The sequence below is a fragment of the Homo sapiens genome, chromosome 17, assembly GCF_000001405.40.
Source record: "Homo sapiens chromosome 17, GRCh38.p14 Primary Assembly".
Classification (NCBI taxonomy): Eukaryota; Metazoa; Chordata; class Mammalia; order Primates; family Hominidae; genus Homo; species Homo sapiens.
Genome location: NC_000017.11, coordinates 22,233,898 through 22,248,582, shown reverse-complemented (window position 1 = coordinate 22,248,582; position 14,685 = coordinate 22,233,898). Strand labels below are relative to the sequence as shown.

General features: G+C 34.5%; 1 long non-coding RNA gene across 1 annotated transcript in view; it reads left to right on the top strand.

Annotated features, from left to right (window-relative positions):
* LINC02002 (long intergenic non-protein coding RNA 2002) overlaps window positions 1–14,257 on the top strand; it is a 32,033-nt gene extending 17,776 nt beyond the window's left edge. The window contains exons 3-7 of the long non-coding RNA NR_187277.1: window positions 3,184–3,334; window positions 3,850–4,024; window positions 7,075–7,317; window positions 7,421–7,591; window positions 13,973–14,257. This is a non-coding gene — a long non-coding RNA (long intergenic non-protein coding RNA 2002). The remainder of the gene's footprint in view (window positions 1–3,183; window positions 3,335–3,849; window positions 4,025–7,074; window positions 7,318–7,420; window positions 7,592–13,972) is intronic.
* The last annotated feature ends 428 nt before the right edge of the window (window positions 14,258–14,685 follow it).

Sequence of the window (14,685 nt, the reverse complement as noted above, 5' to 3'; positions counted from 1 at the left end):
GTGAAAAATCCAACATCCCATGATAAAAACTGGAAACAAGCTATCTGTAAACATGCTTTGCGATGTGTGGGTTCATCTCACAGAGTTAAACCTTTGTTTTGATTTAGTAGGTAGAAAAAACTGTTATTGTAGAATCTAAAAGGGACACTTTGGAGCCTGTTTAGGCCTATAGTGAAAAAACCGCATATCCAGCAAAAAAACTAGAAAGGAGCTGTGTGTGAAAATGCTTTGCAATGTGGGCATCTCAATGAGTTAAATTTTTCTTTAGATTGAGGAGGTTGGAAACACTCTTTTTGTAGAATCTATGAAGGGACATCTTGGAGCTCTTTGAGGCCTGTAGTGAAAACCAGAATATCCTGTGATAAAAACTAGAAACAAGCTATCTACAAAAATGCTTTGTGATATGTTCATTCATTTTACAGAGTTAAAACTTTGTTTTGATTCAACAGTTTGGAAACACTCTTTTTGTGGAATCTATGAAGGGTCATTTTTAAACCCATTGAGGCATATAGTGAAAAACTGGATATCCCTCTATAAAAACTAGAAACAAGCTATCTGTGAAAATGCTTTGTAATGTGTGGATTCATCTCATAGAGTTAAACCTTAGTTGTAATTCAAAGGTTGGAAACACTTTTTTTTTTTTTTTTTTTTTTTGTCTAAGAGGGGACATTTCAAAGCCCATTGAGGCCTATGGTGAAAAACTAAATATTCCCTGATAAAAATGAGAATCAAGATTTCTGTGAAAATGCTTTGTGATGTGTGGATCATCTCTCAGAGTTAAACATTTGCTTTGATTCAGCAGATTGGAAACACTTTTTTTTTAAGAATCTACAAAGGAACATTTTGGTTTCCATGGATGAGCATATTGACAAACCAAATATCCCATGATAGAAACTAGCAACAAATTATTAGTGAAAATGCTTTGTGTTGTGTGGATTCATCTCACAGAGTTAAACCTTTGTTTTGATTCTGCAGTTTGGAAACCCACTTTTGTACAATCTATGAAGGGACATTTCAGAGCCCATTGAGGTCTTATAGACTGAAAACTGAATATTTCACTACGAAAACTAGAAACATGTTCTCTGTGCAAATGCTTTGTGTATATAGATTCATCTCAAAGAGTTAACCTCTGTTTATATACAGCATGTTGGAAACACTCATTTTGTAGAATTTAATAGGGGATGATATAGAGTCCATTGAAGCCTATTGTGAAAAACCCAATATTCCATGATAAAAAGTAGATAAAATCTATTTGTGAAAATGCTTTGAGATGTGTGGATTCATCTCATGGAGTTAAATCTTTGTTTTTATTCAGGAGGTTGAAAACAGTCTCTTTGTAGAATCTAAGAAGTTCCATTTCAGAACCCTTTGAGGCTTATATTGAAAAACTGAATATCCCATGATACATATTAGAAACAAGCTATCTGTTAAAATGCTTTGCAATGTGTGGATTCATCTCACAGAGTTAAACCTTTGTTTTGACTAAGTATGTTGGAAACACTAATTTTGTTTACTCTTTGATAGTACTTTTCAGAGCCCATGGAGGCAAATACTGAAAAAATGAATATTTAATGATAAAAACTATTTAAAAAACTATCTCTGAAAATGCTTTGTGATGTGTGATTTTATCTCATAGAGTTAACTTTTCTTCTGATTCAGCAGCTTGGAGAAACTTTTCTTATAAAATCTATAAGGGGACATTTCAGAGCCCACTGAGGCCTACAATAAAAAAAAGAACAACCCTTGATAAAAACTAGAAACATATTATCTGTGAAAATATTTTGTGATTTGTGAATTCATCTCACAGAGTTAAATATTTGTTTTGATTTAAAAAGTTGGAAACAATTTTTTTTTGTAGAATCAATGAAAAAACATTTCCAAGCCCATTGGGGCCTAGAGTGAAAAAGTGAATATATCATGATTAAAAACTAGAATACGCTATCTGTAAAAATGTTTTGAAATGTGTAGTTTCATCTCACAGAGTTTATCATTTGTTTTGACTTGGCAGGTCAAAAACACTATTTTTGTAGAATCTACAAGGGGACATTTCAAAGCCCACTGTGGACAATAGTGAAAAACTGAATATCTGGTGATAAAAACTAGAAACTAGCTATCTGTGAAAATGTTTTGTGGCTGGGTGCAGTGGCTCACACCTGTAATCCCAGCACTTTGGAAGGCTGAGGCTGGTGGATTACCTGCAGTCAGGAGTTCAAGAGCAGCCTGGCCAACATTTTGAAACCCTGTCTCTACTAAAAATACAAAAAAAAAAATAGCTGGGCATGGTGGTGTGTGCCTGTACTCCTATCTACTCAGGAGGCTGAGGCAGGAGAATTGCTTGAACCCAGGAGGTGGAGGTTGCTGTGAGCTGAGGTCACACCACTGTACGGCAGCGTGGGTCATAGAGTGAGATTCCATCAAAAAAAAAAAGGCTTTGTGATGTGTGGATTCATTTCACAGAGTTGAATGTTAATTTTGATTCAGCAGGTTGGAGAAACCTATTTTGTAGATTTGATGAGGGGACATTTCTTAGCCCACTGAGGCCTATAATGAAAACCAAATATCCTGTGATAAAAACTAGAAACAAGTTTTCTGTCAAAATGTTTTGCAATTTGTGGATTTATCTCACAACATTAAACCTTTGTTTTGATTCAGGAAATTGGAAACTCTCCTTTGGTACAATCGACAAAGAGATATTTCAAAGCCCATTGAGGCTTACTGTGAAAAATAGAATATCCAGTGATAAAAACTATAAAAAAGGTATCTCAAAAAAATGCTTTCTTGTGCATGATTTCATCTCATAGAATTAAACCTTTCTTTTGGTTCAGCAGGTTGGAAACACTCTTTTTGTAGAATCTACGGAGGGACATTTAGGAGCCTATTGGTGCCTATAGTGAAAAACAGAATACCCTTCAAAAAAAAAAAAAAAAAAACTAGAAACAAGCTATCTGTGAATAGATTTGCAATGTGTTGATTCATCTCAAAGAGTTAATTTTTTGTTTGTTTGTTTCAGCAAGGTGGAAACAATCTTTTTGTGTAATCTATGAAGGGATGTTTCAAAGCCCCTTGAGGTCTATAGTGAAAAACTGAGTATCTCCTGATAAAAACTAGAAACAAGCTTTCTGTGAAAATTCTTTGTGATGTATGCATTTGTCTCAAAGTTAAACCTTTGTTTTTATGCTGCAGGTTTGAAATACTCTAAGACATTTTGGAGCTCTTGGGGCCTATAATGAAGAAACGTATATCCTGCGATGAAAACTTGAAACAAGCTACCTGTGAAAATGCTTTGCAATGTGTAGATTCATCTGACAGTTAAACCTTTGTTTTGATTCAACAGGTTAGAAACACTGTTTTCATATAATCTACGAAGGGACACTTCGGTGCCCATTGAGGATTATAGTACAAAACCAAATATTATGCAATTAAAACTACAAACAAGCTATTGGGGAAAATGCTTTGCAATGTGAAGATTTGTCTCACAGAGGTAAACACTTACTTACATACAGCAGGTTGGAAACACACTTTTTGAAGAATTAAGAAGTTACAATTAAGAGTCCACTGAAGCCTATAGTGAAAAACCCAATATCCAGTGATAAACACTAGAAACAAGTTATCTGTGAAAATACTTTGAGATGTGTGATTTCATATAGAAGAGTTAAACCTTTATTTTGATTCAGAAAAATAAAAGCCTTTTTTTTTTGTAGAATCTACAAAAAGACATTTCTGACCCCATTGAGGCCAATAGTAAAAATTCGAATGTCTCATCATAAAAGCTAGAAACAAGCTATCTGTGAAAATGCTTTGCATCGTGTGGATTCATCTCATAGAGTTAAACCTTCATTTTTTTTTCAGGGGTTTGGGAACATACTTTTTATATAACTTATGAATGGACATTTCAGAGCCCATTGAAGCCTATACTGAAAATCCAAATATCCTGCGATAAAAACTAGGAGTAAGCTATCTGTGAAAATGCTTTGCGAGGTTTGGATTAATCTCACAGATTTAAGCTGTTGCTTTGATTTAGCAGGTAGGAAATACTGTTTTTGTAAAATCTACTATGAGACATTTCTGAGCCCATTGAGGGTTATAGTGAAAAACCAAATATCATGCTTTAAAAACTAGAAACAAGATATCTGAATATATGCTTTGTGATGTGTGGATTCCTCTTAAAGCGTTATACCTTTGTTTTCATTCAGCAGTTTGAAAACACTCTTGTTATAGAATCTACAAAGGGACATTTCAGAGCACTTGAGAATTTCAGTGAAAAGCCAAATATTCCACAATAAAAATTAGAAACAAGCCAACTGTGAAGATGATTTGCAATGTGTGGATTTATCTCACAGAATTAAACCTTCCTTTTTATTTTGCAGGTTGGAAACACTTTTTTTGTAGAATCTACAAAGGGATATTTCAGAGCTCATTGAGGCTTATATTGAAAAATCTAATATCCCATGATAAAAACTATAAAGAAGCTATCTCTGAAAATACTTTGTGATGTGTGATTTCATCTCACCAGTTGAACTTTTCTTTTGATTCAGCAGTTTAGAAAGTTTTTTTGTAGAATCTACTAGGGGACATTTTGTAGCACATTGAGGTGTACTGTGAAAAATAGAATATCTCTTGATAAAAACTAAAAACAACCTTTTGTAAAAATGCTTTGTGATGTGTAGATTCATCTTACAAAGTTAAAACTTTGTTTTGCTTCAGCAGATTGGAAATTCTTTCTTTGTAGAATCTACAAGGGACTGTTCATAGCTCATTGAGGCATTTAGTGAAAACCAATAACCCACGATAAAAACTAGAAACAAGCTATGAGTGAAAATGCTTTGTGATGTGTGGATTCATCTTACAAAGTTAAAATTTTCTTTCGATTCATCAGGTTGGGAACACTCTTTTTGTAGAATCTACAAAGGGACATTTCAGAGCCCTTTGATGCTTATAGTGAAAAACCAAATGTCCTATGATGAAAACTAGAAACAGGCTATCTGTGAAAAGCTTTGCATGTCATCTCACAGAATTGAACATTTGTTTTGAATCAGCAGGTTGGAAATATTCTCTTTGTAGAATTGACAAGGGGTAAATTTGGAGCAAAATGAGGCCTACAGTATGAAATCTAATATCCTGTGATAAAAACTAGAAAAAATCTTTCTATAGAAATGCTTTGCAATGTGTGGGTTCATCTCCCAAAGTTAAATCTTTGTTTTCATGCAACATGTTAGAAACACTTTTTTTGTAGAACCTACGAGGGGACATTTCATAGCCCATGGAGGCCGATAGTGAAAAACTGAATATTCCATGATAGAAACTATAGAAGCTATATGTGAAAATGCTTTGCAATTTGCAGTTTCACCTCATAGAGTTTAAACTTTCTTTTGATTCAGCTAGGTTGGAAACACTCTTTTAGCAAAATATATGAAGGGACATTTTGGAGCCCATTGAGGCCTATAGTGAAAAGCCAAATAATTCTTGATAAAAACTAGACACAAGCTATCTGTGAAGTAGGTTTGCAATGTGTGGATTCATTTCACAGAGTTAAACTTTTGTTTCTATACAGTAGGTTGGAAATATTCTTTTAGTAGAATCTAATAGGGGACAATTTTGAGGCTAGCAGTGAAAAATTCAAAATTTCATAATAAAAACTAATACAAACTACTGTAAAAATGCTTTTTGATGTGAAAATTCATCTCACAGTGTTAAACATTTGTTTTGATTCAGTATGTTGGAAAAAAATTTTGTAGAATCTACAAAGGGACATTTTGGAGCCCATTGAGACCAATATTGAAAAAAAATCCTGCTATAAAACTAGAAACAAGCTGTCAGTGAAAATGCTTTGTGTTGTGTGGATTCACCTCACAGACGTAAACCTTTGTTTTTATTCAGCCAGTTGGAAACACTCTTTGTATAGAGTTTACTATGGGACATTCCAGAGCCCATTGAAGTCTCTAGTTAAATACTGAATATCCCATGATAAGAAAAAGAAACAAGCTATCTGTGAAAATGCTTTGCAATGTGTGGATTCATCTCACAGTGTAAAACCTTTATTTTAAGTCAGCAAGTTGGAAACACACTTTTTATAGAATCTACAAAGGAACATTTCATAGCCCATTGAGGCCTACAGTGAAAAACCAAATATCCTGTGATAAAAACTAGAAACAAGCTATTTGTGAAAAAGCATTGTGATCTGTGGATTTCTTTCACAGCGTTTAATATTTGTTATTATACAGTACATTGGAAGCAAATATTTAGTAGAATAAGAGGAGTCTTTTTTGAGCCCATTAAGGCCTGTAGTGAAAAACTGAATATCCCATGATTAAAACTAGAAACTGGCTATCTGTAAATATGCTTTGTGATATATGGATGTATCTCACATAGTTAAATTTTGATTTTTATTCAGAAGGTTGGAGACACATATGTTTTACTATCTGCTTGGCCACAATTCAGTCTTTGAGGCCTATAATCAAAAACTGAATATCCCATGATAAAACTAAAAACAATCTATCTGTGAAAATGCTTAGTGATGTGAGGATTCATCTCAACAAGTTAAATGTTTGTTTTGATTCAGCAGGTTGGAAACACTCTCTTTGTAGAATCTTTGAAGTGACATTTCAGAGCCCATTCATTCCTATAGTGAGAAATGGAATATCCCATGATAAAAACTAAAATGAACTACCTGTAAAAATGTTTTGCAATGCGTGTATTTATCTCAAAAAGTTAAACCTTTCTTTTGATTCAGCAGGTTGGAAACACTCTTTTTGTAGAATCTATGAAGCAACATTTTGGAGCCCATTGAGGCCTATAGTGAAAAATCAAATATCCCGTGATAAAAACTAGAGGCAAGCTATCTGTGAAAATGCATGGCGATATGTAGATTTGTCTTACAGAGTTAAATGTTTGTTTTGATTCAGCAGATTGGATATGCTCTTTTTGTACAATCTACCAGGGGAAATATCAGAGCTCATTGAGGCCTATAGTAAAAAATCAAATGTCCTGTAATAAAAACTACAAAGAAGCTATGTCTAAAAATTCTTTACAATGTGTGATTTTATCTCACAGAGTTTAACCTTTCTTGTAATTCAGCAGGTTGGAAACCCTCTTTTTCTACAATCTACTAGGGTACTATTCGGACCAAATTGAGGCCTATACTGAAAAACTGATTATCCCGTGATAAAAACTAGAAAAAAGCTGTCAGTAAAAATGCTGTGCAATATGTGGATTCATGTCACAAATTTAAACCTCTGCATTTATTCAGCAAGTTTGGAATACCTTTTTGTAGAATATACAAAGGGATGTTTCACACCTATAAAAGCCTATAGTAAAAAAGTGAGTATTTTGCGATAAAAACAATAAAAAAAATTATCTCTGAAAATGCTTTGTGATGTGTGGATTCATCTCACAGAGTTAAACCTTTGCTTTTATTCTGCAGGTTGGATACACTCTTGTTGTAGAATCTACAAAGAGACATTTTGAAGTTCATTGAGGTCTATAGTGAAAAACCAAATATCCAGTGATAGAAACTATAAAGAAGCTATCTCTGAAAATACTTTATGATGTGTGATTTCATTTCACAAGTTGAACTTTTCTTTTGATTCAACAGGTTGGAAACTTTTTTTTGTGGATCTAGAGGGGACATTTCATAGCCCATTGAGACCTACAGTGAAAAATCAAATATCCCTTGATAAAAACTAAAAACAACCTATCTGTGAAAATGCTTTGTGATGTGTAGGTCTATCTTACAAAGTTAAACTTTGTTTTGCTTCAGCAGGTTAGACTCTTTGTTTGTAGAATCTACAAGGGGACAATTAGGAGCCCATTGAGGCCTCTAGTGAAAAAATAATATCTCTCGGTAAAAACTAGAAACAAGCTATGGGTGAAAATGCTTTGCGATGTGAGGATTCGTCTCACAAAGTCAAACCTTTGTTTTGATCCAGCAAGTTGAAAATACTTTATTGTAGCATTTAAGAAGGTACAATTAAGAGTCCACTGAAGCCTATAGTCAAAAACCCAATATCCTATGATAAAAACTAGAAAAAGCTATCTGTGAAAATCCTTTGTGATGTGTGATTTCATATCACAGAGTAAACTTTTATTTTGATTTGGAGAAATGAAAAATCTGTTTTTGTAGAATCTAGGAAGAGACACTATGGAGCCCATTGAGGCCAATAGTGAAAAATTGAATGTCTCATTATAAAGGTTAGAAACAAGCCATCTGTGAAAATGCTTTGAGTAGTATGGATTCATCTCACAGAGTTAAACCTTTGTTTTTATTCAGCAGATTGGAAACGCTCCTTTTGTAGAATCTGCGAAGGGATATTTCAGAGCCCACTGAAGCCTATACTGAAAAACTGAATATCCTTTGACAAAAACTAGAAGAAAAGTATCTGTGAAAATGCTTTGCAATGTGTGGATTCATCTCACAGAATTAAACCTTTCTTCTGATTCAGTAGGTTTGAAACACTCCCTTTGTAGAATCTATGAAGAAACATGTCAGAGCCCATTGAGGCCAATAGTGAAAACCTGAATATCCCGTGATAAAAACTACAAGCAAGCTATCTTTGAAAATACTTTGCAATGCATGGATTTATGAAAGGATACATCACACCTGTTGGGGTGATCAGACCCAACACCAGGTTGTGGGGTTGATGAAGTCCGGTGGAGTCAAATGATTGAGAAAAAGACAGTTTGAGAAGTAAAGTGGGACCAGGGTCCATCACGATCATGGAGGCTATGAAGGCCTTGAGCTCTGGAAGCCCGTAGTATTTATTGGTAATCCAACAAAGAAACAGGTGGTGAGAATGTGGTCAAAAGAGTGTGTTGCATTAAACACATGATTTACAGCTGTGATGGTTTAGCATTTGCTCTGCTACTTGAGATAATGGAGAGCAGGTTCTTCTAACTCAAGATACAATCAATTCTGGGAGAGCAAGGAGCAAGGATCCAGCAATTCTGGACACATTCCAAAGCCACAAACCCTGGATTCTATCCCTGCCATCAGGGATTTTATGCCCTGGGCTTAGATTATTGTGCATCTGGATAGCCTTCCACCCTTTAGCACAGACTTTGGTGTTCCAAATGCCACAAGGGGTTTTAGACCCTGGACCCTGGACATGTTCCAAGACTCTTTTACATTATGTCAGACATGCAAGCCCTGTCTCAGCTTCTCCCAACACTCACCTTTTCCCAACAACACCCATTAATGCCTACGGTAAAAATCTGAATATTTTGCAACAATAACAATAAAAAGTCTATTTCTAAAAATGCTTTGTGATGTGTAGATTCATCTCACAGAGTTAAACCTTTGTTTTGATTAAGCAGGTTGGAAACACTCTCTTTGTAAAATCTAAGAAGGGACATTTTAGAGTCCATTAGGGCCATTAGTAAAAATCCAAATATCTCACGATAAAAACTAGAAACAAGCTACCTGTGAAAATCCTTTGCAATGTTTGGATTCATCTGATAGAGTTAAACCTTTGTTTTGATTCAGCATGTTGGAAACAGTCCTTTTGTACCACCTACGTGTGGACATTTCAGAGGCCATTGAAGCCTACAGTGAAAAACTGAATATCACATCAAAAACACTGGAAACAACTTATCACTAAAAATTATTTGCCATATGTATATTCATATCACAAAGTTAATCTCTTGTCTTGATTTAGCAGAGCTGGAAATACTATTTTTGAAGAATCTATGAGGGGACATTTCAGAGCCAATTGAGGTCTATAGTGAAAAACTAAATATCCCATGATAAAAACTAGAAACAGTCTATCTGTGAAAATGCTTTGTGATGTGTGGATTCATGTCACAGAGTTAATTCTTTGTTTTGATTCAGCAGCTTGGAAACACTCTTTTTGTATAATCTACGAAGGGACATTTTGAAGCCCATTGAGGCCAAGAGTAAAAAACCAAATATCCCATGATAAAAACTAGAAAAAACCTATCTGTGAAAATGCTTTGCAGTCAGTGGATTCATCCCACAGAGTTAAACATTTGTTTTGATTCCACAGACTGGAATCACTCTTTTTGTAGAATCTATGAAGGGACATTTTGGAGCCCATTGAGGTGTACAATGAAAAACTAAATATCCTGAAATTAAAAACTAGAAACAGGCTATCTGTGAAAATGCTTTGTGATGGGTGGATTTATCTCTCAGATTATTAAACATATGTTTTGAATGAGCAGATTGAAACTATTCTTTTTTTAGAATCTATGAAGGGGCATTTTGGAGCCCATGGATAAATATATAGAAAAAGCAAATATTCTTCTATGAAAAATGGAAACAAACTATTTATGAAAATGTTTTGGGATGTGTGGATCCATCTCACAGAGTTAAATATTTGTGTTGATTCAGCAGGGTGGAAACACTGTTTTTGTAGATTCCATGAAAAGACATTACAAAGCTCCTTGAGGACTACGGTGAAAAGTTGAATATCCCACAATGAAAACTAGAAACAAGCTATCTGTCCAAAGGTCTTGTGATGTTTGGAATCATCTCTCAGAATTAAACCTTTGTTTTTATTCAACAGGTTGGAAACACTCTTTTTGTAGAATATACAAAGGGACATTTTGGAGCCCATGGAAGAGTATATTGAGACACCAAATATCCTGCAATAAAAACTCAAGCAAAATATCTGTTAAAATGCTTTGCATTGTGTGAATTTGTCTCACAGACTTAAACAATTATTTTAATTCAGCAGGTTGGAAATACTCTTTTTGCAGAATCTACTAAGGGCCATTTCAAAGCCCATTGAGGCCTACAATGAAAGACAAATTATACCATAATAAAAACTAGAAACAAGCTATCTATGAAAATGCTTTGTGATGTGTAGATTAATCTCACAGAATTAAATCTTTGTTATAATTCAGTAGGTTGGAAAATCTCTTTTAGTACAATCTATGAAGAAACATTTCAAAGCCCATTGAAGCCTGTAGTGAAAAACAAAATATCTGGAGATATAAACTAGAAACAAGCTACCTGTGAAAATGCTTTGGGATGTGTGGATTCATTTCACAGAGTTAAATCTTTGTTTTGATTAAGCAGGTTGGAAACAGTCTGTTTTTGGATCTACAAGAAGACTTTTTGGTGTGCTTTGAGGCCTATAGTGAAAAACTGAATATCCTGTGATAAAAACGAGAAACAAGCTATCTGTGAAAATGCTTTGTGATGTGCAGATTGATCTCACCAAGTTAACTGTGTTTTGATTCAGCACGTGGAATACAATCTTTTTATATAATCTAGGAGGAGACATTTTGGAGCCTATTGAGGTCTAAAGTCAAAAACCAAATATCCTGTGATAAAAACCAGAAACAAGCTATTTGTGAAAATGCTTTGCAATGTGTGGAGATTTAAGCCTTTGTTTTGTTTCAGCAGGTTGGAACTACTCTTTTTGCAGAATCTATGAAGGGCCATTTTGGAGTCCACAAAGGCCAACAGTGAAAAACTGAATTTCTGTGACAAAAACTAGAAAAAAGCTATCTGTGAAAATGCTTTGCAATGTGTGAATGCATCTCACAGATTTAAGCCTTTGTTTTGATTCAGCAGGTTGGAACTACTCTTTTTGTAGAATCTTCAAAGGGCCATTTTGGGGTCCACAATGGCCAACAGTGAAAACCTGAATTTCTGTGACAAAAACTAGAAAAAAGCTATCTGTGAAAATGCTTTGCAATGTGTCAATTCATCTCAAAGAGTTAAACTTTGGTTTTGATTCAACAGGTTGGAAATACTCTTTTTGTAGAATCTAAGAAGGCACATTTCAGAGAACATTGAGGCCTACAGTTAAAAACTTTATATCTCGAGATAAAAACTAGAAACAAGCTACATATGAGAATGTTTCATGATGTGTGGATTCAACTCACAGAGTTAAACCTTTGTTATGATTCAGCAGGTTGGAAACACTTTTTGTAGAATCTACAAAGGAGCATTTCAGAGCCCATGAAGAAATGCATGAAAAAACCCTAATATCCTAGGATGAAAACTAGAAACAAGCTATCTGTGAAAATTCTTTGTGATGTGTGGATTCATCTCACAGAGTTGAACCTTTGTTTTGATTCAGCAGGCCAAAATCACTTTTTGTAGAATCCACGAAGGGACATTTTGGAGCCCACTGTGGCTTGTAGTGAAAAACTGAATGTGCCATGACAAAAACTAGAACAAAGCTCTCTGTCGAAATGCTTTATGATGTGTCATTTCATGTCACAGAGTTAAACTTTTGTTTTTATTCAGCAGGATGAAAGCACTTTTTTTGTAGAATCTATGAGGGGACATTTCAGAGCCTATTGAGGTTTATAGTGAGAAACAAAATATCCCACAATAAACAACTAGAAACAAGCTATCTGTGAAAATGCTTTGCAATGTATGGATTTATCTCACAGAGTTAAATGTTTGTTTTGATTTGGCAGGTTGGAACAACTCTATTTTTAGAATCTATGAAGAAACATTTTGGAGCCCATTGAGGCTTGTACTGAAAAACTGAATATCTCATAATAAAAATTAGAAACAAGCTGCTTGTGAAAATGTTTGTGATGTGTGGACTCATCTCATGGAGTTAAACATTTGTTTTGATTCAGCAGGTTGAAAACACTTTTATTGTAGAATATAAAAGTTTACATTTCAGAGCCAATTGAGGCCTATAGTAAAAAATCAAATCTCCCATGATAAAAACTAGAAACAAGCTATATGTGAAAATGCTTTGTGATGTGTGGCTTCATCTCACATAATTTAACCTTTGCTTTGATTAAGCAAGTTTGAAGCACTCTTTTCGTAGAATCTACGAGGGGACATTTTAAAGCCCATTGAGGCCTATAGTCAAAAACAGATTGTCCCAAGATAAAAAGTAGAAACAATCTATCAGTGAAAATGTGCTGTGATGTGTGGATTCATCTCCCAGAGTTAAAGCTTTGTTTTAACTCAGCAGGTTGGAGACAAACTTATTCAAGAATATATTAAGGGATATTTCAGAGTACATTGAGAACTGTAGTAAAAAACCAAATATTCCATGATAAAAACTAGAAAAATGTATCTGTGAAAATCCTTGGCAATGTGTGGATGTATCTCACAGAGTTAACTTTTGTTTTGATTCAGCAGACCAAAATTACTCTTTTTGTAGAATCTACAAGAGGACATTTCAAAGCCCATTGAGGCCTGTAGTAAAAAACTGAATATTCTGCAATAAAAACTAGGAACAAGCTACCTGTAAAAATGCTTTACAATGGGTCATTTCATGTCACAGAGTTAAATCTTTGTTTTGATTCAGTAGGTTTGAAACACTCTGTTGTAGAACTAAAAGGGGACATCTCAGAGCATATTGAAGTCTATAGTGAATAACCAAATATCCCATGATGAAAAGTAGAAACAAGCTGTCTGTGAAAATGGTTTGTGATGTGTGGATTCATCTCACAGACTTAAACCTTTATTTTTATTCATCAGGTTGGAAATACTCTTTTGACACAGTTTACAAAGTGACATTTCGGAGCACATTGAGGCCTATAGTCATAAAACTAAATATCCCGCTATAAAAACTTGAAACAAGCTACATATGAGAATGTTTCATGATGTGTGAATTCATCTCACAGAGATAAACCTTTGTTTTTATTCAGCAGGATGGAAATACTCTTTTTGTAAAATCTACAAAGGGGAGGTTGGAAACATCCTTTTAATGGGATCTACAAAGGGACATTTTGGAGGCCATTGAGGCCTATAGTGAAAAACCGAATATCCTGCAATTAGAACTAGAAACAAACTATTGGTGAAAATGCTTGGCAATGTGTGGATTCATTTTACAGAGCTAAATCTTAGTTTTTATTCAGCAGGTTGGAAACACTCTTTTTGTAGTATCTGCGAAGGGACATTTTGGAACCCATTGAGGCCTACAGTGGAAAACTGAATATTCCATGATAAAAACTAGAAACAAGTAATTTGTGAAAATGATTTGCAAAGTGTGGATTCATCTCACACAGTTTAACCTTTGTTTTGTTTCAGCAGGTTGGAAACACTCTTTTGTAAAATCTACAAAGAAACATTTTGGAGTCCATTGAGGCCTATAGTGAAAAACTGAATATTTCGCCTTGAAAACCAGAAACAAGCTATCTGTGAAAATGCTTTGTGATGGAAGATTTATCTCACAGAGTTAAACGTTTGTATTGATTCAGCTGGCTGGCAACACTCTTTTTGTAAAATCTACAATGGGACATTTCAGAGACCATTGAAGTCTACAGAAAAAGACTGAATATCCCATGATTAAAACTAGAAACAAGCTATCCATCAAAATGCTTTGTGATGTTTGGATTCACTTTACAGAGTGAAACATTTATTTGGATTAAGTAGGTTGGAAACACTCTTTTTATAGAATCTACGAATGGATATTTTAGAGCCCAGTGAAGCCTATAATGAGAAACCAAGCATTCCATGATAAAAACTAGAAACAAGCTATCTGTGAACATGCTTTGAGATCTGTGGATTCATCTCACAGGGCTAAACCATTATTTTGGTTCAGCAGGTAGGATACACTGTTCTTCTAGAACCTAAGAAGGGACACTTCAGAGCTGATTTAGGCCTACAGTAAAAAACCGCATATCCCATGATAAAAACTAGAAACATGCTATCTATGTAAATACTTTGTGATGTGTATATTCATGTCACATAATTAAACTTTTGTTTTTATTAAAAAGGTTGAAAACACTGTTTTAGTAAAATCT